General features: G+C 39.7%; 1 protein-coding gene across 3 annotated transcripts, besides 1 other annotated feature; it reads left to right on the forward strand.

The window, feature by feature from the left end:
• Positions 1,969–2,178: a silencer, noted in NCBI's record as "silent region_8599". NCBI's record gives its function as "represses an Ori minimal core promoter by ATAC-STARR-seq in GM12878 lymphoblastoid cells {active_cell/tissue: GM12878}" and the evidence as "EXISTENCE:reporter gene assay evidence [ECO:0000049][PMID:35858748]".
• MEIOC (meiosis specific with coiled-coil domain) lies at positions 2,165–22,784 on the forward strand. Of its 3 annotated transcripts, XM_005257236.4 has the most exons (9): positions 2,165–2,379; positions 2,824–2,958; positions 8,014–8,168; positions 11,081–11,185; positions 12,073–13,930; positions 15,080–15,214; positions 19,063–19,243; positions 19,673–19,791; positions 22,647–22,784. In XM_005257236.4, the coding sequence occupies exons 1-9, from the start codon at positions 2,311–2,313 to the stop codon at positions 22,650–22,652; spliced, it is 2,763 nt and encodes a 920-aa protein (XP_005257293.1). In that variant the 5' UTR covers positions 2,165–2,310; the 3' UTR covers positions 22,653–22,784. The 3 variants fall into 3 exon arrangements, with proteins under 3 accessions (XP_005257293.1, NP_001138552.2, XP_047291758.1); NM_001145080.3 differs by lacking the exon at positions 22,647–22,784 and having other exon boundaries at positions 19,673–21,498; XM_047435802.1 differs by lacking the exons at positions 19,063–19,243; positions 19,673–19,791; positions 22,647–22,784 and having other exon boundaries at positions 12,073–13,929; positions 15,078–15,110.
• Positions 22,785–23,023: the final 239 nt, after the last annotated feature.

The following is a 23,023-nucleotide window of genomic DNA, read 5'->3' on the forward strand; positions in this document are numbered from 1 at the left end:
CTTTTTTTCTTTTCTTTCTTCCTTTTTTTTTTTTTTTTTTTTTGAAACAGGGTCTTGCTCTGTTGCCCAGGCTGGAGTGTGATGGAGTGATTATGGCTCACTGCATCCTCCAACTCTCCAGCTCAGGCGATCCTCCCATCTCAGCCTCCCAAGTGCAGGTACCTGGGACTACAGGCACACACCACCACACCCAACTAATTGTTAATTTTTTTGTAGAGACGAAGTCTCCTTATGTTGCCCTGGCTGGGCAACTCCTGGGCTCAAGCAATCCTCCTGCCTCGGCCTCCCAAAGTGCTGGGATTACAGGCACAAGCCACTGCGCCCAGCCTTGGTGAGCTTTCTGAACTCAAAGCTGAGTAGAGACCTGAAGTAACTATCAGGACAATATGGGTCAATAAAACTCATCCTCCTACTTCCATTCGTGTCTGAGTTAAAACAGTATCTTCCACTTAAGTGCTCATTTCTCAAGTTTTGATTTTAAATATAAAAACAGCCTAAAGGTGCTTACTGTGTTTACTTCTTTTATATTTCAACTATCTGATTTTTTAGCAGTGTCTAGGGACAAAAACTAGCATTTCTCTGAGACCATCACATCCCCAATCTGACTGCTATGTGAATGGTTTGTTGGGTGCCTGGAATGGCTTGTTTATGTAAGCTCTCACCTGTAATCCCACACTTTGGGAGGCCGAGGCGGAGGATCACTTCAGGCCAAGAGTTCAGTTCAAGACCAGCCTGAGCAACATAAGGAGATCCAACCCCCTACCCCCATCCCCACCTCCAACCCCAGCTCTACAAAAAAATTAAAAAATTAGCTAGGGCCAGGCGCCGTGGCTCACGCCTGTAATCCCAGAATTTTGGGAGGCCGAGGCGGGCGGATCACGAGGTCAAGAGATCGAGACCATCCTGGACAACATGGTGAAATTCCCGTCTCTACTAAAAATACAAAAATTAGCGGGGCGTGGTGGCGTGGGCCTGTAGTCCTAGCTACTCGGGAGGCTGAGGCGGGAGAATCGCTTGAACCCGGGAGGCGGAGGTTGCAGTGAGCCTTTGCGCCACCGCACTCTAGCCTGGCGACAGTGAGACTCCATCTCACCAAAAAAAAAAAAAAAAAAAAAATTAGCTGGGAGTGGTGGCACGCGCCTGTAGCCCCAACTACTCGGGAGGCTGAGGCGGGAGGATCGCTCGAGACCAGGAGTTTGAGACCAGCCTGGGCAACATAAGGAGACCCAACCCCCCCGCCCTTCAGCTTTACAAAAAAATTAAAAAATTAGCCAGGAGTGGTGGCGCCGCGTGCCTGCAGCCCCAGCTACTCGGGAGGCTGAGGCGGGAGGGTCGCTTGAACCCGGGAGTTCAAGGCTGCAACGAGCTATGATAGCGCCACTGCACTCCAGCCTGGGCGACAGAGCAAGACCCTGTTTTACACAGACAAACAAAAACGAACAAAAAGGTCACAGCGAACTTTGTTCAAAAGTCACATTAACACTTAAATGCCTTAACCCGGACTGAAAGCCCGGGCTTAGGACACAGGGCAGCTCTCCCTCAAAAAGGGGTCTCCCAGCAACACCCAATCCACAAGTTGCTCCTCGCCCTCCCCAAACCGGTACAAGATATATCAGTCTCTGGGCAGCTCCAACGGATTCTGAAGCTACGGGAGGGACTAAGGAACAAATATGAAATGTCGGACAAATGAAATGTGCGCAACAGCTAGGTTTTGGAGGATAAGCCAGTTGCTGAGCGACTTCTCAAATCTTCCAAGTGCCTCCAACACCTCTCCCACCCGGTAGGGCTGCGCTCTTTAGCTCTTTCAACCTTCCACGACCGGCCTCTCCGCTGCCCTATCAGCAAATCATCGGGCCGGTGCCTGCCAGTCCGGGCCAATCCCGAACACATTTACTTTGAGCGGGAAAAGCTCAGAAGCGGCGAGAGAGCGTGGTCCGCTAACCGCCCCTTCCTCTCCTTGTCTCTGGGGGGTAACGGAGCCTGGAGTGGTCGCCCATTGGATGGGCATCGGACCAATGGCGGGCTGCGAAACGGGAGGGGCGGGCCTCACAGCGGGGCGGGGCGCGCCTGTGCCGTGTCGCGTGCCGAGCCGCGAGCCCCAGGCAGGCCAGGTAACGGCCTCTGCCCCCGCCCCTCCCTCCCCGCTCGGACTTCCCTTACCCGCACACTGGCTCCAGGCAGCGCCCGGGCGGCGGAGGCGGCTGCGGAGACGGCGGGGTGCGGGCTGAGGGAGCCGGGCCTGGACGCCCCCCCCATCACCCCCGTACCCCAGGAGCTGTGCCTAGTCCAGGAGAGGCTGGGGGGCGCCCCATGGAGGTGAGACGCGGAGACACCTGCCCGCGCCCTCACCCCTCAGGCCTGAGGGAGGAAGGACTTGAGGTAATGGATGAGGAAGGGCAGGGTCCAGGGGGCGGCCAGACTTGCAAGAGGCGACGAGGAGGAGAGGCTGAGGAGGGGGCGCGTCCCTAGACGGGGCGGCAGAGGCGGGTCGTCGGTGGGGAGGCCGAACGGGGCGGGCGGGCGGGGGGCGCGGCGCGGGCTGACTGGACGGGCCGGACGGAGCGCGGGTCGCCGCGATTCCCGGGAGGCAGCCGTCGCGCTGAGGCGGTGGCCGGGGAGGGGCGCCCCTCGGGGTCAGCACTCAGGGGGCCCGAGGGGAGAGTGAGAATCCCGAGGCTGGAAGCGCGGGCCCCCACATTCGTGTCCTCTGAGAGGGTTCGGAATTGAGCCGAACAGCCGAGGTAGAACAGGTGTCGGGCCGTTTCAGCTCCGGCGTCACCCTCGTGACCACTTTCTGATATTTCCTATTCCCGTGTGCTGCAGCCCAAAGTCGCGTTCCCCGGAGGTGCGAATCGCTGTTGGAACCTCGGCGCCGACGCCGGCAGCAGGTTAACCGACGTCTTCGGCAGCGTGATGTTGACTGGCTCCGCTTCCTTCTACGATTGCTACACATCGCAGGTCCTTTAGTAAACTCTGCCTCTGTTAGACGATTTATTCTCAAATGGATTTACTCGAGCCACCGATTCATAGGTGTTTAATGGCTCCACAGTTAAGGAAGAGAAAACCAGGGAAAACTTTTTTTTTTTTTTTTTTTTTTTGAGACAGAGTCTTGCTCTGTCTCCTAGGCTGGAGTGCAGTGGCGCCATCTCGGCTCACTGCAACCTCCGCCAGCCGGGCTCAGGCGATTCTTGTGCCTCAGCTTCCTGAGGCACGCGCCACCACGCCCGGCTGTTTTTTTTGTTTGTTTTGTTTTTGTTTTTTGTTTTTGAGATGGAGTTTTGCTCTTGTTGCCCAGGCTGGAGTGCAGTGGTGCGATCTCGGCTCACCTCAACCTCTGCCTCCGGGGCTCAAGTTATTCTCCTGCCTCAGCCTCCGGAGTAGCTGGGATTACAGGCATGCGCCACCACGCCTGGCTAATTTTGTATTTTTAGTAGAGACAGGGTTTCTCCATGTTGGTCAGGCTGGTCTCGAACTCCCAACCTCGGGTGATCCGCGCACCTCGGCCTCCCAAAGTGCTGGGATTACAGGCATGAGCCACCGCGTCCAGCCGTTTTGTTTTGTTTTTTGAGACGGAGTCTCCTTCTGTTGCCCAGGCTGGAGTGCAGTGGTGCGATCTCGGATCACTGCAACCTCTGTCTCCCTGGTTCAAGCAGTTCTTCCGTCTCAGCCTCCCCAGTAGCTGGGATTACAGGCACCTGCCATCATGCCCGGCTAATTTTTGTATTGTTTTTAGAGACCGGGTTTCACCATGTTCCCCAGGCTGGTCTCGAACTTCTGGGCTCCAGCCATCCTCCCGCCTCGGCCTCCCAAAGTGCTAGGATTTCAGGCCACAGCGCCCAGCCCAGGAACAATTTTTTTTTTTTTTTTTTGAGACGGAGTCTTGCTCTGTCGCCCAGGCTGGAGTGCAGTGACGCAATCTCCGCTCACTGCAAGCTCCACCTCCCAGGTTCACGCCATTCTCCTGCCTCAGCCTCCCGAGTAGCTGGGACTACAGGCACCCGCCACCACGCCCGGCTAATTTTTTTGTATTTTTAGTAGATACGGGGTTTCACTGTGTTAGCCAGTATGGTCTCGATCTCCTGACCTCGTGATCCGCTCGCCTCAGCCTCCCAAAGTGCTGGGATTACAGGCGTGAGCCACCGCGCCCGGCTACAATCTTTTAAATACAGTGTTTGCAGAATACATACTTTGCTTTGAAAATAAGTTAAGGGCCGGGCGCCATGGCTCGTGCCTGTAATCCCAGCACTCTGGGGGGCTGAGGCGGGTGGATCACCTGAGTTCGGGAGTTCAAGACCAGCCTGGCCAACATGGCGAAACCCCATCTCTACTAAAAATACAAAAATCAGCCGGGTGTGGGGGCAGGCACCTGTAATCCCAGCTACTTGGGAGACTGAGGCAGGAGAATCTTAAACCAGGGAGGTGGAGGTTGCAGTGAGCCAAGATCATGCCACTGCACTCCAGCCTGGGTGACAGAGTGAGACTCCCTCTCAAAAAAAAAAAAAAAAGAAAAAAGAAAACAAATTGAAGAATAAGATTTTTCATTGATTCGTTTCCATCTTGTCCTTAGCATAACATAATTCCAGAAATGTAAGAAAATCCATTATTTAGTAAGATTAAAATATGTTTTTTTTCGTTCAGGCATTTATTGCAAGTTGGTACAAACATATTTTTGATAATTTAAAGGTGAAAATTTCACTTTACTCCTTTATTTTCTGGTTTTAACAATGTCTTAAATTATATGCTACCACTTACCTCACCAAGACATTTAGATTTATTAATCAAAGGAAATAAAGCTTGGGTAATGTAAGTAATTTTCATTTGAAATTATTTAACCAGGACATCAATGTTGATATTGTTGTACTTTGAATTATAACAATATCTAGAAATAAATTATTTTATTTAATCCACACTAAGAATCTTGTATATTATTATGCCACTGTACAGATTGAGAAACTGAGCCTCAGAGAGCTTGATTTGTGCCCTAAATGACAAAGCTCAAGTGGAACCCAGACCATAGTTCCACTGCTCTCTGCAGTGTTTACATCCGGACTAAAATTTATTTGGATTTAATTTCAGTTCACTGTTTTAAGTATGTTAAGGATATAAGTGATACATTTTAAAGTTAATCCAGTTAATATGCCCACTCAAATATTTGCATATTTCCTGGCCTCTGTTAACGAAAGGGATGCAGATATTTCAAGTATGATTGTTTGAATCCACCACATTACTTTAGTTGTTTTAACCCAAGAATACAAAAGTTAAGTCAGTCCTTTAAAAGGATTTTATTTGTAATATTCAAAATGTATTTTAAAATGTAAAATGTACTTGAAAGAATACTCCCAAAATATTTTCAATTTCCAATACTGTTTATTCATTTGACATTACATAATCTGAAAATGTTCCTTTTGTTTAAGCAACTATTTCAAAAAGATGAACAATTATTTATGTCACTTTGGATACTTCACACATAAGAGTGGGCCTATGATGATAACTTTAGAACTCAAAGGATAAAATTAGGAAAGAAAGATAAAAAGCCTTTGTAAAAGTTGCTGCTAACCAACAAATTCTGGAAAGGTAGTTTTTAGTTTTAGCTCTCAGCAAAATCCCTTCTGTGTTTCCATTTCCTCAACTTGAGAATAGTCATAATATAAACTATAAACAGAAAAATTATAATGTGTGGGTTTTAAATAGAATCATAACCAGAACTTAAACAAATGGTTGTAAAATATTTTGAGATTCTTGAAGATGGATGATTGGAAGGTATTTCTTAATGTTCACATTTTGTTGGTATCATATAACGTTGTATAGTTTAAATGTTTTTCAGTGATCATATCTATTAGGAACAAAAATTTAGAAATATTAACAGAATAAAAGCAATTAGAAAATACTTTTAGCCAGAATTATATCTTTTCCTTTTTTATTTTATTTTATTTTATTTATTTATTTATTTATTTTGAGATGGAGTCTCCCTCTGTTGCCCAGGCTGGAGTGCAATAGCTCAATCTTGGCTCACTGCAACCTCCGCCTTCTGGGTTCAAGTGACTCTCCTGCCTCAGCCTCTTGAGTAGCTGGGATTGCAGGCACCTGCCACCACACCTGGCTAATTTTTGTATTTTTGTCGAAACGGGCTTTCGCCATGTTGATCAGGAGTTAAACTCCTGACCTCAGGTGATCCGCCCACCTAGGCCTCCCAAAAGTGCTGGGATTACAGGTGTGAGCCACTGCGCCCGGCCAGAATTACATCTCTTCTGTATTTATAAGAAAATACTATTTTCATTGTGTTTATGTCTGGGTATTTATAGTTATTGCATCTCAGGTTTTAATAGTTACTTATCTGGAGAGTTAAAAATTTTGAATTTATACTTTCAGTCTTCTTTAAGGAAGCATTTTCTAGAATAAACAATGTATAAATTAGCTTAATCTTTTTTTGTTTGTTAAATTCACTTTCCCTACATGGTCCCTTTTGGAAGGAGGCAGGGTTTAAATCATTAAAATCTTAAAACCCAAGGCCCGGCAAAGTGACTCACACCTGTAATCCCAGCACTTTGGGAGGCCAAGGCAGGAGGATCGCTTGAGGCCAGGAGTTTAAGACCAGCCTGGGCAACACAGTGAGACCCCATTTCTATTTAAAAAAAAAAAAAGAAACTTAACACCCAAAGTTTTTGTTTACTCAGGTTCATTACAGAAGCATTCACCGAGGCTGGGTGCAATGGCTCACGCCTGTAATCCCAACACTTTGGAAGGCCCAAGGCGGGCAGATCACTTGAGGTCAGGATTTGAGACCAGCCTGACCAACATGGTGAAACCCTAAAACTCTCTACTGAAAATACAAAAATTAGCCAGGCATGGTGGCAGGTGCCTGTAATCCCAGTTACTTGGGAGGCTAAGGCAGGAGAATCGCTTCAACCCGGGAGGCAGAGGTTGCAGTGAGCCGAGATCTCGCCACTCTACTCCAGTCTGGGCAACAGAGCCAGACTCTTGTCTCAAAAAAAAAAAAAAAAAAAAAAAAAGATACTGTATAAAATGTCCTCAAATAGGAGGAAAAAGACCTTCAGTTTTGGTTTTAGATTTGTTACATATTGGCTGAGTGACTTGCAGCCTCAGTTTCCTTGTTTTTAAAGTAGAGATAATACTCATGTCACAAGGTTTACTGGATATGATAATATATGTGAAATTTATTTGAATAGTGTAAAATTCCATATAAATATACATTAACTTTTTTCAGAGATTGGGGACATTAAGACTGAAATTTATTTATTTATTTTTGAGACAGAGTCTCGCTCTGTCGCCCAGGATGGAGTACAGTGGTGCTATCTTGGCTCACTGCAAGCTCCGCCTCCCGGGTTCATGCCATTCTCCTGCCTCAGCCTCCCAAGTAGCTGGGACTACAGGCGCCCATCACCACCACAGCTGGCTAATTTTTTGTATTTTTAGTAGAGACAGGGTTTAGCCAGGATGGTCTCATCTCCTGACCTCGTGATCCGCCCACCTCGGCCTCCCAAAGTGCTGGGATTACAGGCTTGAGCCACCGCGCCTGGCCCCAAGACTGAATTTTATATATAATGTATTAAAAATAACATTGCTAGTATCCACATAATGCTTATCTATTCAAAAAATTACAAAAAAACTACAATAATTATAGGTATTTTATACCACAGACCAGCAACAAGGAGCCAGAGCTGCCCGATACCTGTTTTGTAAATAAAGTTTTATTGCAATGCAGCCAAACCCATTTGTTTATTGTCTATGGTTGATTTAGTGCTGCAGCATTAGAGTTGAAGAGTTTTGACAGCAACCTTAATGGCCAGCTAAGCCTAAAATATTTACTATTTGGCCTTTTGCAGAACAAGTTTGCCAATCCCTGGTATAAAGCAAGCTTAAGTCACTAAGTCTGCATTTGAATGTAATTCTCCCAACTCTTACATCTGTGTTATTTCCGCTTTCTTATTTTTCTCATATTCTACAACAAATGAAGTTTTGATGTGTCTGATAAACATTTCTTAAAACTTTCAGAGTGAAGACAATGTAGACCTAAGGCAGACCTATACTCCATTTTCTTCAACAGAATATTCAAGTTCTGTAGATTCTTCACTTTTCTGTGCACCATGGTCTACTTATGGAGATGACATTAAACAACCTTCTAATTCTCAGATCAGTATAAAGAACAGGTAAATTAATTCATTTCTCAAGGTAATTGAGGTATTTTTAAATTTAATTACATAGGAACTGAGGTTATTTGCTCTCTGTTCCCTACATTATCATTTTACTATTGTGGCATTTTGTGTTTTTCAAACTTTTAGGAAAGTGTAAACTGGGCAGTTATTTGTGTATAGTTTTTACGGTGTTTTGCTTTGTTTTGTTTTGTTGAGACAGGGTCTCGCTCTGTCACCCAGTCTGGAGTGCAGTGGCGAGATCATGGCTCACTACAACTTTGAACTCCTGGGCTCAAGCCATACTCCTGCCTCAGCCTCCACAGTAGCTGGGACTACAGGTATGCACCACGGTGGTCAGCTAACTTTAAAAAAATTTGTTGCCTTTTCTTTTTAAGAAACGAGGTCTCACTTTGTTGCCTAGGCTGGTCTTGAACTCCTGGCCTCAAACCATCCTCCCACCTTGGCCTCCCAAAGTGCTGGAATTACAGACATGAGCCTCTGCCCAGCTAGGTTATTACTTAAAAAAATTCATTAGTGGGAACATTTAGTGCATAAATCTTAAGTTCTTCTTTCTAAAGATGACTTATATGAATGAGTTAAAACTTTTAGATGTTTTTGTCATCCAGTTCTAAATTTTCCATTTTTTTCCTTCACAACTCTACAACAAACAGGGTTTTATCAAACATAAGATATTTTAAATTATTTTTCTGTTCAATTCCACAAATAATAAGGGCCCCCTGTACATCAGATGCTTTTCTATGGGGGATACCAGAATTTAAACATGGCAAATATTATCCTTGCCTTTATAATCTTGATGATGATGATGATGATGATGATGATGATGATGATGACGATAACTAGGATATTATGGGAGCCTATTGCAAAGAGGAGCCCTAAGGGAGTGACATCTATCTTTAATTATATATGGGAGCTATTTATAGAGGCTGATGCCTCATTAGTCTAACCAGGAAATAGTTATTTGTATTTATTAGAAAAGTGTTAAAAAATTAAAATTCTTGGCAAATTCTCTAAAATAATTTTATTAGAAAGTCTACGTAATACATAATTCTACAAAAAACAAAAATATTTTTAAAGTTGATACATGCTATTGAAAAAATTCAAGCCTATTCTCGCTTTTGGCTAAGATCAAGTGAAAAAATTCAAACTTTTCAGAAATATATATCAAGAAAAGTGAAAGTCTGTCTTAACCTTCTCCCCCCGCCACCCAATAACAGCTGCTAGCAGTTTGGTATATATTACATTGAATTTTTTTTAGATATATACTAATACATAATTACACAAAAAAGCTTTTATATTGAACTTTTATGAGATAACACATGTAGTAGAAAAGGTATTGGACTTACAGGGAGACTATTTAGCAAGTATGTAGTAGTTTGGCAAGTCATATACCCTTGCAAAATACAAGTTTCTTAATATCTCAAATGATCATTCATTTATTCAACAGATAATAACGAATGATTACTAATGCTTACCTTTCCAATGTTATGAAGATCAATTAAATATGAGTGTTATGCAAATATAAGGTATTTTATTTCAAAAATATCCCAACACTATGAAATGTTGAAATATGAAAAAACCGGAAGTTACAATTTATTATAAAACAATGTACAGGGCCGGGATTGGTGGCTCACGCCTGTAATCCCAGCACTTTGGGAAGCTGAGGTGGGCAGATCACAAGGTCAGGAGTTCGAGACCAGCCTGACCAACATGGTCAGGCTGAAAATACAAAAAAAAATTAGCCAGGCGTGGTGGCACGCGCCTGTAGTCCCAGCTACTTGGGAGGCTGAGGCAGGAGAACCGCTTGAACCTGGGAGGCGAAGGTTGCAGTGAGCAGAGATCGCGCCATTGCACTGCAGCCTGGGGAACAGAGCGAGACTCCATCTCAAAAATAAATAAATAAATAAATAAACAAACAAACCAACAAATAGATGTACAGGTTGAGCATCCCAATCTGAAAATCCGAAATCCAGACTGATCCAAAATCCAAAACTTTTTGAGTGCTGACATGATGCTCAAAACAAATGCTCATTGGAGCATTTCAGATTTTGGATTAGGGACGTTCAACCAAATATACAAGTATACATTATATATTTGGAGTATAATGTATATTTCCAGAATCCAAGAAAAAAACCTGAAATCCAAAACACCTCTGATCCCAAGCATTTTGGATAAGGAATACTCAACCTGTATTACTTCAAGGAAGAAATTACCCAAAAACTGTAACAGGTAAAAGGTACCAATCTTCCACGTGCTTGTGGTTTTTACATTTTGTATTTAGTCAGTATCAGTCACTAGGTGGATTTCTGGGATAAAAGGAACTCCATCCAGTCATGCTTTGCAAGCATTAGGGATGGCTCCCAAATCTGTTACATTTAAGCGACAACTGCAAAATTGCTGTGGTGTCTAGGATGACCATATCGCATTTCACTTTTTTATCCAATATTAATATAGAGTCACAAAAATAGAATAGAGCATCAGGTTCATATGGTTTTCAAATTGCAAATGAGGAAGCTGAGCAGGTGTTGATGGAATAATGTATAATAAGACAAGACTTGCTTTCAGGAGCAGCTATGATACCAAGCATGTCTGTGACATCATAGATGACAGATTTATATCTTGGTCACCTAAAATGAAAACCATGTGTTGTGGAGAAATAAGAGGTAAGCATGCACTGTAAGTTAGATATAGGATTTGAAATGAAGGAGAAATATTTATGTGGAAAAGACATTTCCACATAAAAATATTTATGTAGAAAAGAAAATATTCTTGAGTTCTAGTCTCTTCTTTATTTGAAATGATGGTGTAGATTCAGTCCACATATTTTATAGATAAAGATGGTAAGGTAGGATAAGTCTGGAAAGAGTAATCAATATATTGTATTTCAGCACGAATTCATTTATTTTTAGGATTCAAACAGAAAGAAATGACTATGGCAGTGAAACAGACTTATATGGACTTGTGTCTAACATTTTGGAAGAACAAGATAAGTCACAGCCATATTTTGCTGAAGGGTTAGTATATAATCTATATAGTATATAACAGGCTTTTAAACTAACATACACTAGTTTACCCTGTTTATTAACTTTTATTTTTACTTAATAGTGGATCATCTGACAGTAGGTATCTTAATTCAAATATTGTTTCAAGGAGACTTGATTTTGCTGAAGTATTTGCTATATAATTGGAAGTTCAGTCTAAGGTTTTGTATAAGGACTTTCATTGAAAAATTATTCTTGCATAATTCAGAGCTATTTCCCTTGAGTTCATGAACTAAAGATTGGCTTAAATAATATAAATTCAAAGGAACTTTTATACATAGATCCCAAAGAATAAAACTCATTACTACTATGCAGAAATACATATGGATTTTATTCATGTGTTAGAAAATTTTGTAATGTTTCAATTGTTTTATTGAAGTGTGGAAGCTATATTACCCAAATATACTATTTCATAAATAGGGAAGTATGTAGCACACATATAACCAATTAAAATATTTTAATTTCACAAAGTTTAAGCAAAACACATTTTTTTCATTAAAAAAAACTGTGGTCAACAATGCTTTTATGTAATAACCTAAGCAAAGGAAAAACTTATTTTCTGCTTACTATAGATAAATAATTCATCTAAGACCATGAAGTCACATATTAGGCCTTAGTTATTGTCTCTTGGGAAAGTACAGCGAAGACATTAAAATGCATATTTATGTAACATACAGCACATTTCATGTGACAGATAATTATCTGGAGCTAATGGTAGCTTATAAAGCAGAGTTGAAAGGGATTAGAGAATGGTGACATGGGGCAAGATAAATGTTTTTGAAGACCTTTTCTCCCTTTTCCACTGAAGAAATAAAGTCTTTAAAACCTAAGTTGTAATTAAATATATTTATTTGTTCTAGGACCTGCTCCTCCAATTTAAAGTCAGTTTGGCCAATGAACACAAGCAGATTTGCAGATCACCATGACCTCTTAACAGAAACCAAAAGGCCAATAGATACAGTCATCTCTCAGCAAGCTTTTTATAGTGATGAATCTGTGTCAGCAATGGAAAAGCAATACCTGCGTAACAGTAATCTCACACCACAACAAAAAATAGATGAACTTCATCATGGATTTACTGGTTTAGATCTTGAAGAACAATGGATGTACCCCTCACGAAGTGATCATTCTAACTGTCACAATATTCAGACAAATGATACAGCTAAGACAACATTCCAAGAATATCCACTTATCAAAAACTGTTTTACACCCCAAACTGGTCTGTCTGATATCATGAAAGAATCAGGAGTTGATATCTACCATTATGGAAGAGACAGAATATGTACTAAAGGTCTTGAAGCACCACTACAGCAAAAAAGGGCAGAGATGTTTCTTTCTCAATTTAATAGATACAATGAAAATGTAGATTATTGTAGATACCCAGAGTATGTTCATCCTAATAAGGCTAAGCTTAATAAATGTTCAAATTTTAGTGTCCAAGATAGCAAAAAATTAGCCAATGGCACACCTGAAACACCAACTGTAGAAGCAGACACCTACACAAAGTTATTTCAGGTTAAGCCAGCGAATCAGAAAAAAATGGAGGAGACAATCCCTGATCAGCAGAATTTCACATTTCCAAAAACTACGCCACATCTGACAGAGAAACAGTTTGCAAAGGAAGCAGTATTCACTGCTGATTTTGGCTTAACATCAGAATATGGACTAAAACCTCACACAGCTTGTCCCGCTAATGATTTTGCTAACGTCACAGAAAAGCAACAGTTTGCTAAACCTGATCCCCCACATTCTGAGTATTTTAAATCAGTGAATTTATTATCAAACTCAGCAACATCTTCAGGAGGTATCAATTTAAACAGACCAACTTGGATGAATGTTCAAACAAAAAATAACACTCCTATTCCTTATCGAAATCAAGGTAACTTGATGAAATTAAATAGTCATTTAAGTGCAGCTTCAAAAGGTTCTAACCATTCTTCAGATTTCCCCCAACTATCATCCACAAACTTAACCCCAAATAGCAATTTATTTCAGAAATATTGCCAAGAAAACCCTTCAGCATTTTCTAGTTTTGATTTTAGTTACAGTGGTGCAGAAAGAATCCAATCTGTCAATCACATAGAAGGACTAACAAAGCCTGGAGAAGAAAATCTCTTCAAATTGGTTACGGATAAAAAAATAAAGCAGCCAAATGGATTTTGTGATAACTATTCAGCTCAGAAGTATGGGATAATTGAAAATGTAAACAAACATAATTTTCAAGCCAAGCCCCAGAGTGGACATTATGATCCTGAGGAAGGTCCAAAGCATTTAGATGGCTTATCACAAAATACATACCAAGATCTACTGGAGTCACAGGGTCATTCTAATAGCCACAGAACGAGAGGTGGAGACAATAGCCGTGTGAATCGCACACAAGTGTCATGCTTTTCTAATAATTATATGATGGGAGATTTAAGGCATAATCAGTGTTTTCAACAACTTGGTTCAAATGGGTTTCCCCTAAGATCCACCCACCCATTTGGCCATTCAGTTGTTCCACTGTTGGATTCCTATGACTTACTTTCTTATGATGACTTAAGCCATTTGTACCCTTATTTTAATATGATGTATGGTGATAATTCTTTTTCTGGTCTCATGCCAACTTTTGGATTTCAAAGACCAATTAAAACCCGTAGTGGACCAGCCAGTGAACTTCATATTCGTCTAGAAGAGTGCTGTGAACAATGGAGAGCATTAGAAAAAGAGAGAAAAAAGGTAACACAAAGTTAACCACTTAGGAATAACAGTATGTTCCTTTTGCCTGTCTTCATTCTGTTTACCTTAGTGTAGTGTAAGAGTACTTGCCTTATTTCTTTTTGCTTTATTTGTTGTTGTTTTAAAGAGACAGAGTCTCGCTCTGTTGCCCAGGCTGGAGTACAGTGGCAGAATCATAGTTTACTGTAACCAAACTCCTGGGCTCAAGCAATCCTTCCTCCTCCTGAGTAGCTAGTACTACAGGCACATGCCACCATGCCTGGCTAATTTTAATTTTTTGTAGACATTAGGTTTCACTATGTTCCCCACGGTGGTCTCAAACCCCTGGCCTCAAGCCATCCTCCCACCTTGATGTCCCAAGTGTTGGCATTACAGATGTGAGCCACTGCACCCGGCTAACTTGCCTTATTTCTGAGCTGAATTCTATAATGTCCAGGATTTGCTGTAAGTTCATTACTGTAAGGAATTAAGTGGGTTACTTAAAAACTAAAAATGGATGGGGTTGGCCAATGGGAAGCTTAAATAAATGAAGATGAAAAATGCTTGACATTTTAAAGTTATTGTTATTCTAAGTTGACTTGCCCTGAAGTAGATTTTTTACCCCCTTAGTTGTTACAAGTTTATTTCTTTGAATTTTGTAGTGTTAACCTGTTGGTATACTCAGGTATTTTATTTGTATTAAGACGATAGCTGGGCGCGGTGGCTCACGCCTGTAATCCCAGCACTTTGGGAGGCCAAGGTGGGCAGATCACAAGGTCAGGAGTTGGAGACCAGCCTGGCCAACATGGTGAAACCCAGTCTCTACTAAAAATACAAAAAATTAGCCAGGCGTGGTGGCAGGCACCTGTAATCCCAGCTACGCGGGAGGCTGAGGCAGGAGAATCGCTTGAACCCGGGAAACGGAGGTTACAGTGAGCCGAGACTGCACCACTGCACTCCAGCCTGGGCAATAGAGTGAGACTCCATCTGAAAAAAAAAAGATAGAAAAATACTGTGGTATTGTGGTTTACATTTGTTGTCTTTTGATACCAAAACAGAATTTTCATTTAAAGTGGTAATACTCTATTTATTAGGCTTACGAAAACTATTATTCATGGTCGAATCATATTTAGAAAATTCTACATCTAAAAAGTATGTAATTTTTTACAGACTGAATTAGCCCTTGCCAAGAATTATCCTGGAAAAAAAGTATCCAGTACTAACAACACTCCAGTTCCAAGGCTGACTTCCAACCCATCTAGAGTTGATCGCTTAATTGTGGATGAACTTCGAGAACTAGCCAGAGTAAGCTGTAAAAATAGATAACAGTGGATGGATTTTTTGTTAAATTTTTTTTAAGTTTCAGGCCAGGCGTGGTGGCTCACTCCTGTAATCCCACCACTTTGGGAGGCCGAGGCGGGCAGATCACCTGAAGTCAGGAGTTCGAGACCAGCCTGGCCATTATGGTGAAACCCCGTCTCTACTAAAAATACAAAAATTAGCTGGGGGTGGTGGCATGCGCCTGTAGTCCCAGCTACTTGGGAGGCTGAGGCAGGAGAATCATTTAAACCCAGGAGGCAGAGGTTGCAGTGAGTGAAGATCACGCCACTGCACTCCAGCCTGAGTGACAGAGCGAGACTCTATCTCAATAAATAAATAAATAAAACTCTCATCAAGTTTTAGAGCTTTGAAGGGTTTTTAAATCACATTTACATCTAACTCTCTGAAATATATTTTTTTCATGTTTGGTCCTAGAACTATAATATTTAGGAAAGGGGCTGGGTGCAGTGGCTCACACCTGTAATACCAGCACTTTGGGAAGTGGAGGTGGGAGAATCACTTGAGCCCAGGAGTTTGAGACCATCCTGGGCAACATAGGGAGATCCTGTCTCTACTAAAAATTAAAAATTAGCTGGACATGGTGTCACATGCTTATGCTACTCAGGAGGCTGAGGTGGGAAGATAGCTTGAGCCTGGGATGTCAGGGCTACAGTGAGCCATAACCACACCATTGCATTCCAACCTGGGGAACAGAGCAAGATCTTGTCTCAAAAAAAAAAAAAAAAGAAAAAAAAAGAAAAAGGAACGGGAAAATAGTCCCACTCAATCATTTTAAAAGTAATTTTCGTAATTTAAATGGTTCCTCTTGAAGCTCAAATTGGCAGTGGAGCTAATCCTCAACTGAAAGAATTTTTTAAAAAGCAAAAATCATTTTGAGTATTATTTATGGAGAAAGTCTCATTTCTTTGTCACATTTGTTTTCCAGCTTGATGAGCAAGCTGTGCTTACATAAGATGGTAACTTAATAGGGAATTACTATCTTTCCTTTTTTTTTTTTTTTTTTTTGAGGCGGGTCTCACTTTGTCACCCAGGCTAGAGTGCAGTGGCATGATCTATGCTCACTGTAGCCTTGACCTTCTGGGTTCAAGAGATCCTCCTGCCTAAGCCCCCAAATAGCTGGGACTACAGATGCACGCTACCACACATATCTAATTTTTGTATTTTTTATAGAGACAGGGTTTCGCCATGTTGCACAGGTTGGTCTCAAACTCCTGAGCTCAAGCAATCCACCTGCCTCAGCCTACCAAAGTGCTGGGTGTGAGCCACCACCAGTCAACAAAATACTTTTGTTTTGGCGAAGTAGGATATGACTTCAAGTCAAATGTTGTAAAGAATCCTCGTTAAGTCATTTTGTAATTTAATGATTATTCCTATTCTTTATAATTTCAGAATTTTCTAAGCAACTTAGGGTAGGTAAACTTTTCCTTTTTTGACCTTCCTCTCTTAAAAACTTAGTTTTCCAAATAAAATTTGATAAAGATTCTTCCTGGGAAAAAAAAATGCAGCAAAACGGATTACCTCTTTTATTGAATAAAACCATTTTAGGAATTAGAAAAATCAACATGGGTCAAATTTGTAAATCTGTACAATGGAATTTATCCATGGTACATTCAGAGCCTAACATATGAGGTACAGCCAGATGTTAATAAAAACTTCAATCTTTTATTATTTAAAAAAAAAAAAAACTTCCAAATTAAAATTTCTTTATCTCAGTAATACATTTCTAGGAAATGAAGGATGACATACTGTGGATAGTGATATACTTTTCCCAGCTTTGCTTATGCTTCACATTAATTTAGAAGGATATGTTTATGCCTGTTATAATAATTTTATTTTCTTTACAAAAATTAGCTGGGCATGGTGGCATGTGCCTATAGTCCCAGCTACTCGGAAGGCTTAGGTGGGAGGATCACTTGAGCCTGGGAGGCAGAGGTTGCAGTGAGCTGAGATGATACCACTGCATGCCAGCCTGGGACAGAGTGGGACCCTGTCTCAAAAAAAAAAAAAAAATTCATTTTATCTATACTTAGCAACATTATTTCATTAACAGAGGATTTTAAAATTACATTTTCGCCGGGCGTGGTGGTTCATGCCTGTAATCCCAGCACTTTGGGAGGCCAAGGTGGGCGGATCACAAGGTCAGGAGATCAAGACCATCCTGGCTAACACGGTGAAACCCGGTCTCTACTAAAAATATAAAAAATTAGCCGAGCATGGTGGCAGGCGCCTGTAGTCCCAGCTACTCGGGAGGCTGAGGCAGGAGAATGGTGTGAACCTGGCAGACGGAGCTTGCAGTGAGCCGAGATCGCGCCACTGCACTCCAGCCTGGGCGACAGAGCAAGACTCCGTCTCAAAAGAAAAAAAAAAAATTACTATTTTCTAGTTTGCTAGCTTTGTAGAATTTTGAAAAAAAAATATTTTTTAAACTTTATTTAAAAATCACCTGTGCAGACTTTTCTCTTTTTTTGAGATGGAGTCTCACTCTGACAAGATCTTGGCTCACTGCAACCTCTGCCTCGCGGGTTCAAGCGATTTTCCTGCCTCAGCCTCCTGAATAGCTGAGATTACAGGTGTGTACCACCACACCCGACTAATTTTTTGTATTTTTAGTAGAGACAGGGTTTCACCATGTTGGTCAGGCTGGTCTCGAACTCCTGATCTCAAATGATCCGCCCGCCTCGGCCTCCCCAAAGTGCTGGGATTACAGGTGTGAGCTACAGTGCCCAGCCCCAATTTGCACATTTCTTTACTCTTTATCATTTGCTCAAAATTATTGTCTTATTTAAAAATAATTAGTAGTTCCCTGGAGGTTTTTTTGTGTGTGTTTTGTTTTCCCCTGAAGGATCTGGCTGATACACAGTTGAGAGGAAAATATTTAACATACGGAATAGACTTATTATGAAGAAACTTAATACGAGTTTGAGGTTAGAGAAACATTAATTCCAGTGCCATTGGTTTCTTGAGAAGCTTTTTCCCCCTATATTCTCCAATCAGTGAACACCAAGTTCTGCTATCAATTGTTAAATCATTTAATTCCCAAAGACAATTACTGTATTTACTTGATCTTCAAATTGCAATTATTCAAAAAGTTCTCTTTCCATATACTTTCCAAGTTTAGAATTTGAAACAAGTTAGGCATATGAAACATACTCCCCCTACTGACCTAATATATCAGTGCCCTTTTTTAAGTTTCATCATCCAGAGGATTGAGAAGCATCCTAATTTTCTTTAGCAGTTTTGACAGTTACAGGAGTCATTTTGTATTGTTTTAATGTAAATTTAAATCAGTATTTTCTGTATTATGGATTCCTTAAAGCTATCACTAGTCAGTATTACTATCTGAATATTTCTGATTTCCAAAAAGGGAACATTGGAGGCCCAGAAAAATTAAAGACTTGTTGAGGTCAGGATTAATCAGTCAAGTACTTCTCTTTTTAGCTCAAAACTTTTTCCATTAGATTACAATACTTCCTAACAATGCTGTTTGCAGGCTGGTCTCTTATTTGTCAAAAACAGTATCAGATCTTGTATTTGCAGTTAATGACATGGTAATGTTTGAATATTTAACATTTTCATTGATGCTTATTTTCAGTAATCAACTACCACATATTTTTAGAATTAACATAGACAAGTAGATAGAAAACACTTTCCATTTTTGTTTCCCCCAGCATGGTGTCAGGACACAGTAAGCATTCTTTGATTTATTGAATGAATATTATTGCTGTCATCTCTATTCTGCTTCACTGAAGATTTGTTTTTACTTAAGTTAATGGCAGGACATGTCTTATCAAAATTTAAAATGCTTCCCTCAGGTTGTGACTTTACTAGGCAAAATGGAACGTCTTCGGAGTTCTCTTCTTCATGCCAGTATCTCTACTGCTCTTGATAGACACTTGGAGTCTATTCACATTGTACAGTCACGTAGAAAGGATGAAATTGTTAATGCTTCCAATCGGCAAAGGCAAGGAGTTCCTAGATGCCAAGATGACAGAGGTACAAATATTAATGCATATTCTTGTGATAAGTCAGTGTGATAATTTAGGTATTGATAAAATCAGATTCTGAGGTTGAAAGATTAGATTTCTAAAATTAACACTTACCTACAGAATAAATTGGTAAATAATCTCCACATTATTTACTCCAAAAGTATTTCCATTTTATTAATTTTGTCTGTTATAACTGTTTCAAGACAGTCTGTGTTCTACTCAAACTATAGTCACTATTGTACAAGTCAGAAATAAAGTATCAATACTTTTAAATATTTTAATGATAAAGGACAGGACTTTGGTTCAATCAATAACTATCCTTTTTTTACAAAAATAACATTTGATCATTTAGTAGCAAAAGCACTGGGTTTTGTAAGATTTAACAGATATTTAAATGGCATTTAATATGAAATGACCCTGAATGTTTATTTTACAGATGTTTTTGCCCTTGCTTCTGCAATTAAAGAGATGTGTGTGGCTACTCGGAAAACACGCACTGCCCTGTGGTGTGCACTGCAGATGACCTTGCCAAAAACAGCCAGTACAGCTGATGTGGTAAAGCCTTTACAAGATACAGTAAACTGTGAAGATAAAGTCCATGAAAGCATAAATAGTAGCAATCCAATGAACCAGAGAGGTGAAACAAACAAACATTAAGGAAATGCCAGCAGAAAGAAGAATAAAAAGCTGATAAATATACCAAGACATGCTAAAAATGTTTTAATGAACTTGTCAAACTTTCAGTATGTTTTCTTTCAGATTTAAAGTTAATACCAGTACCTTAATGAAGTCTAACTTCTATTTAAAAATCTTCTATTTGAAGTGAATCCGATATAGTTTTAAGTAAACGCAAAGGTACAGTTGACTACTCAGAGTTCTGAGTAGTCAGATAACAAGTTTAAGTAAATTAAATATTTCCTAACAGCTAAAATGTGCTTAAACTCATTCTGCCATGCAGGTAAATGCAAATGTGAAATTCTTCTAGGAGATAAATTTCATTTAGGTTTGTCTTAGTTAAGTATAATTCCAAATAATGAATCTAAGTGACTGTAACCCAATTACGGCTACAGCCTAGTAACCAAGACAAGTTTTGATTGTGATATCAAAGTGTTTTCCTTACAAAACTGGATAATACCTGGGAAACAAAGGAAAATACGGATAAACCCAATATTCATGTACAAACTTAATATTTAAAATACTATACTACCATATTTATAAATTTGGAATCTTAATGCCTAGGTATATGGAGGGAAATGCATCTGATTCTCCTAAATTAATGATAAAAGTGTCAGTGTAAAAACCATGCAAGTTACTGAATATAAAACCTATTCAGATCATTTGTGTATATTCTTTAAATTTTAATTATATTATCAATTGTTAAATGTTTCCAATTTTAAAGTTATTTAAATTGAATCACAAAACATTCCCTTTATCTGGATCTTTTAGACTTGATGCACAGTAACTGAAATAATGACTACTGTTTTAATACCCTTAGTTTGCTGCCTTTTATGAGGGTGTCACGAAGTTCTAAAATGTATTTTTTTAAAGGTTAATCTCTAACTAGTTTAGCTTGCAATTGGTTAGTGTATATTTTGTGTAGTTGTGTTCATTAGTTTGCTTCTAAGTTCTAAAATGTATTTTTTAAAGGTTAATCTCTAACTAGTTTAGCTTGCAATTGGTTAGCCTATATTTTGCGTAGTTGTGTTCATTAGTTTGCTTCTGTATTTTTTTAAAACTATTGAAAGCTTAACTTTTTCTGTTTCTCATCACTTAGTATCTTTGTATAGAACTTGAGTAATTTATTCGTTAATATGAAATGTTGGTATTATGTGACTCAGAAGATCTTGGGTTTTAACATTTCTAGCATGAGTTAAACTATAATGTACTGATGAAATTTAATTGAAATATCCTTGACTAGAAACACTGATGTTTTAAATGTTAGTGTTTTTCTTAGTTTTAGAAATTCTGGTATTAAAAAAAAAAAGAGTGTAATCATACCACATAAATTTTCTTTAGATGATGTGCAGAAGAAACTGATTGAGAATGCAAGAGTAACTGTAGGGAGAAACATTTTGATCACTGATATGCCTTAGAACTACCCAAATGAATTACATTGAGGGTAGTCAAATAAAATAGATCATCTCACCACAGTCACTGCATAGAAAGTGGTTAAGTTTAACATAAGACATGTTGGATGTTATAAAAACAAATACTGTACTGAATTTAGTCTCAGGAAAAAAATAAATTACTTTGTTGAAAACATTTGGTTTCATTTTTCTAAATTCATATGTTTCTAACCTTAAGAGTCACTCATATCAGAAAGTCAAATGAATTTCATTTAAGAACTTATACTAAGTTTTAGATTTCATTATTAACGCACAAGTAATAATGTTGGTTTATAAATCAATGCCATTCAGATATCCATGGATCTAACCAGATCTCCTTCAAAGATGAAATTTTTGCTCTATCTTTATGCTAATCCGTGTAAACCAGAATAAAAATTTTAGGGAAGCTTTTACATGATACTGGTCAGAAATGAAATACCAGTCCGTTAATAAGAACCAAACACTTAAAAAAATTCTTTGAAATATTGTTAATCATATCACCCAATAGATAATTTTTAAATTAGTCGGTTGTCCCTTTCAGTGGCATATCCTCTAACAGATGGTTCTTATGTACTTGTATTTCTGAATTACAACCTATAAAACATTGTACTTCTGAATTACAACCTATGAAAACATTATAAAACTTTTACAAAATTTGCAGTGAAACTGATAAAACTGATGCTCCCGCCATTTCTAATCTGAAAGAACTTGGTGTACTCATTCTTTTTAATGGAAAAAGCAAAATTACCTTGAGTTGTTATCAGTGTCCTTCTCACTTGAATAATCTGCTACTATAAAGTTTTAGAGGGTTGAGAATTTATGACTGAAATCCAAAATCTGGCCTAAAACTCAATCTTACCATAGAAGATATGGTTGTTTAAAATTTGCCCTTTGCAGCTGGGTGCCGGTGGATCACGCCTGTAATCCCAGCACTTTGGGAGGCTGAGGCGGGTGGATCACGAGGTCAGGAGATCGAGACCATCCTGGCTAACACGGTGAAACCCCATCTCTACTAAAAATACAAAAAATTAGCTGGGTGTGGTGGCACTCGCCTGTAGTCTCAGCTACTTGGGAGGGGGAGGCAGGAGAATCACTTGAACCCGCAAGGTGGAGGTTGCAGTGAGCCAACATGGCGCCACTGCACTCCAGCCTGGGTGACAGAGTGATCCGTTTCAAAAAACAAACAAAAAAAATATGCCCTTTGCAATACTGAACATTTTAGACGTAAAGGATTTATTAGCACCTGAGTCAAGTGGATAACTAAACTCAAAGCCTAATGAGCTGATCCTCTATTTTCTGTTTAAGCATTAGTTTGAGAGTATACTTAACTGTGACATACATAGCAGAGTCCCAGAAGAAAGAACTGACTACTAACAAATTGAAACAAGTACCCTTCAGGGGACCGTGGATATAACCTGACTCCTTCAGTGACAAAAATCAAGGTGAGAACAACCCAAAATCCCAAAATAAGGATTACTAAATTAAAATAGGCTCTATCATACCCTATCGCTACCACCACATAAAGGACTAAGACTGTAATAGTAAGGACCTCTAAGCCAATTTCCTGATGTTCCAAAAAACATGCTAATCTTTCTGATCTAATTCCTACTTCACAAAAAGGAAAATTGAGAAAGAGGATTTATGGATTCCAGGAAGAGCTTCCACTAGTGGAATATAAGTTA

This window comes from Homo sapiens, chromosome 17 (assembly GCF_000001405.40).
Source record: "Homo sapiens chromosome 17, GRCh38.p14 Primary Assembly".
In the NCBI taxonomy this organism is placed as follows: domain Eukaryota; kingdom Metazoa; phylum Chordata; class Mammalia; order Primates; family Hominidae; genus Homo; species Homo sapiens.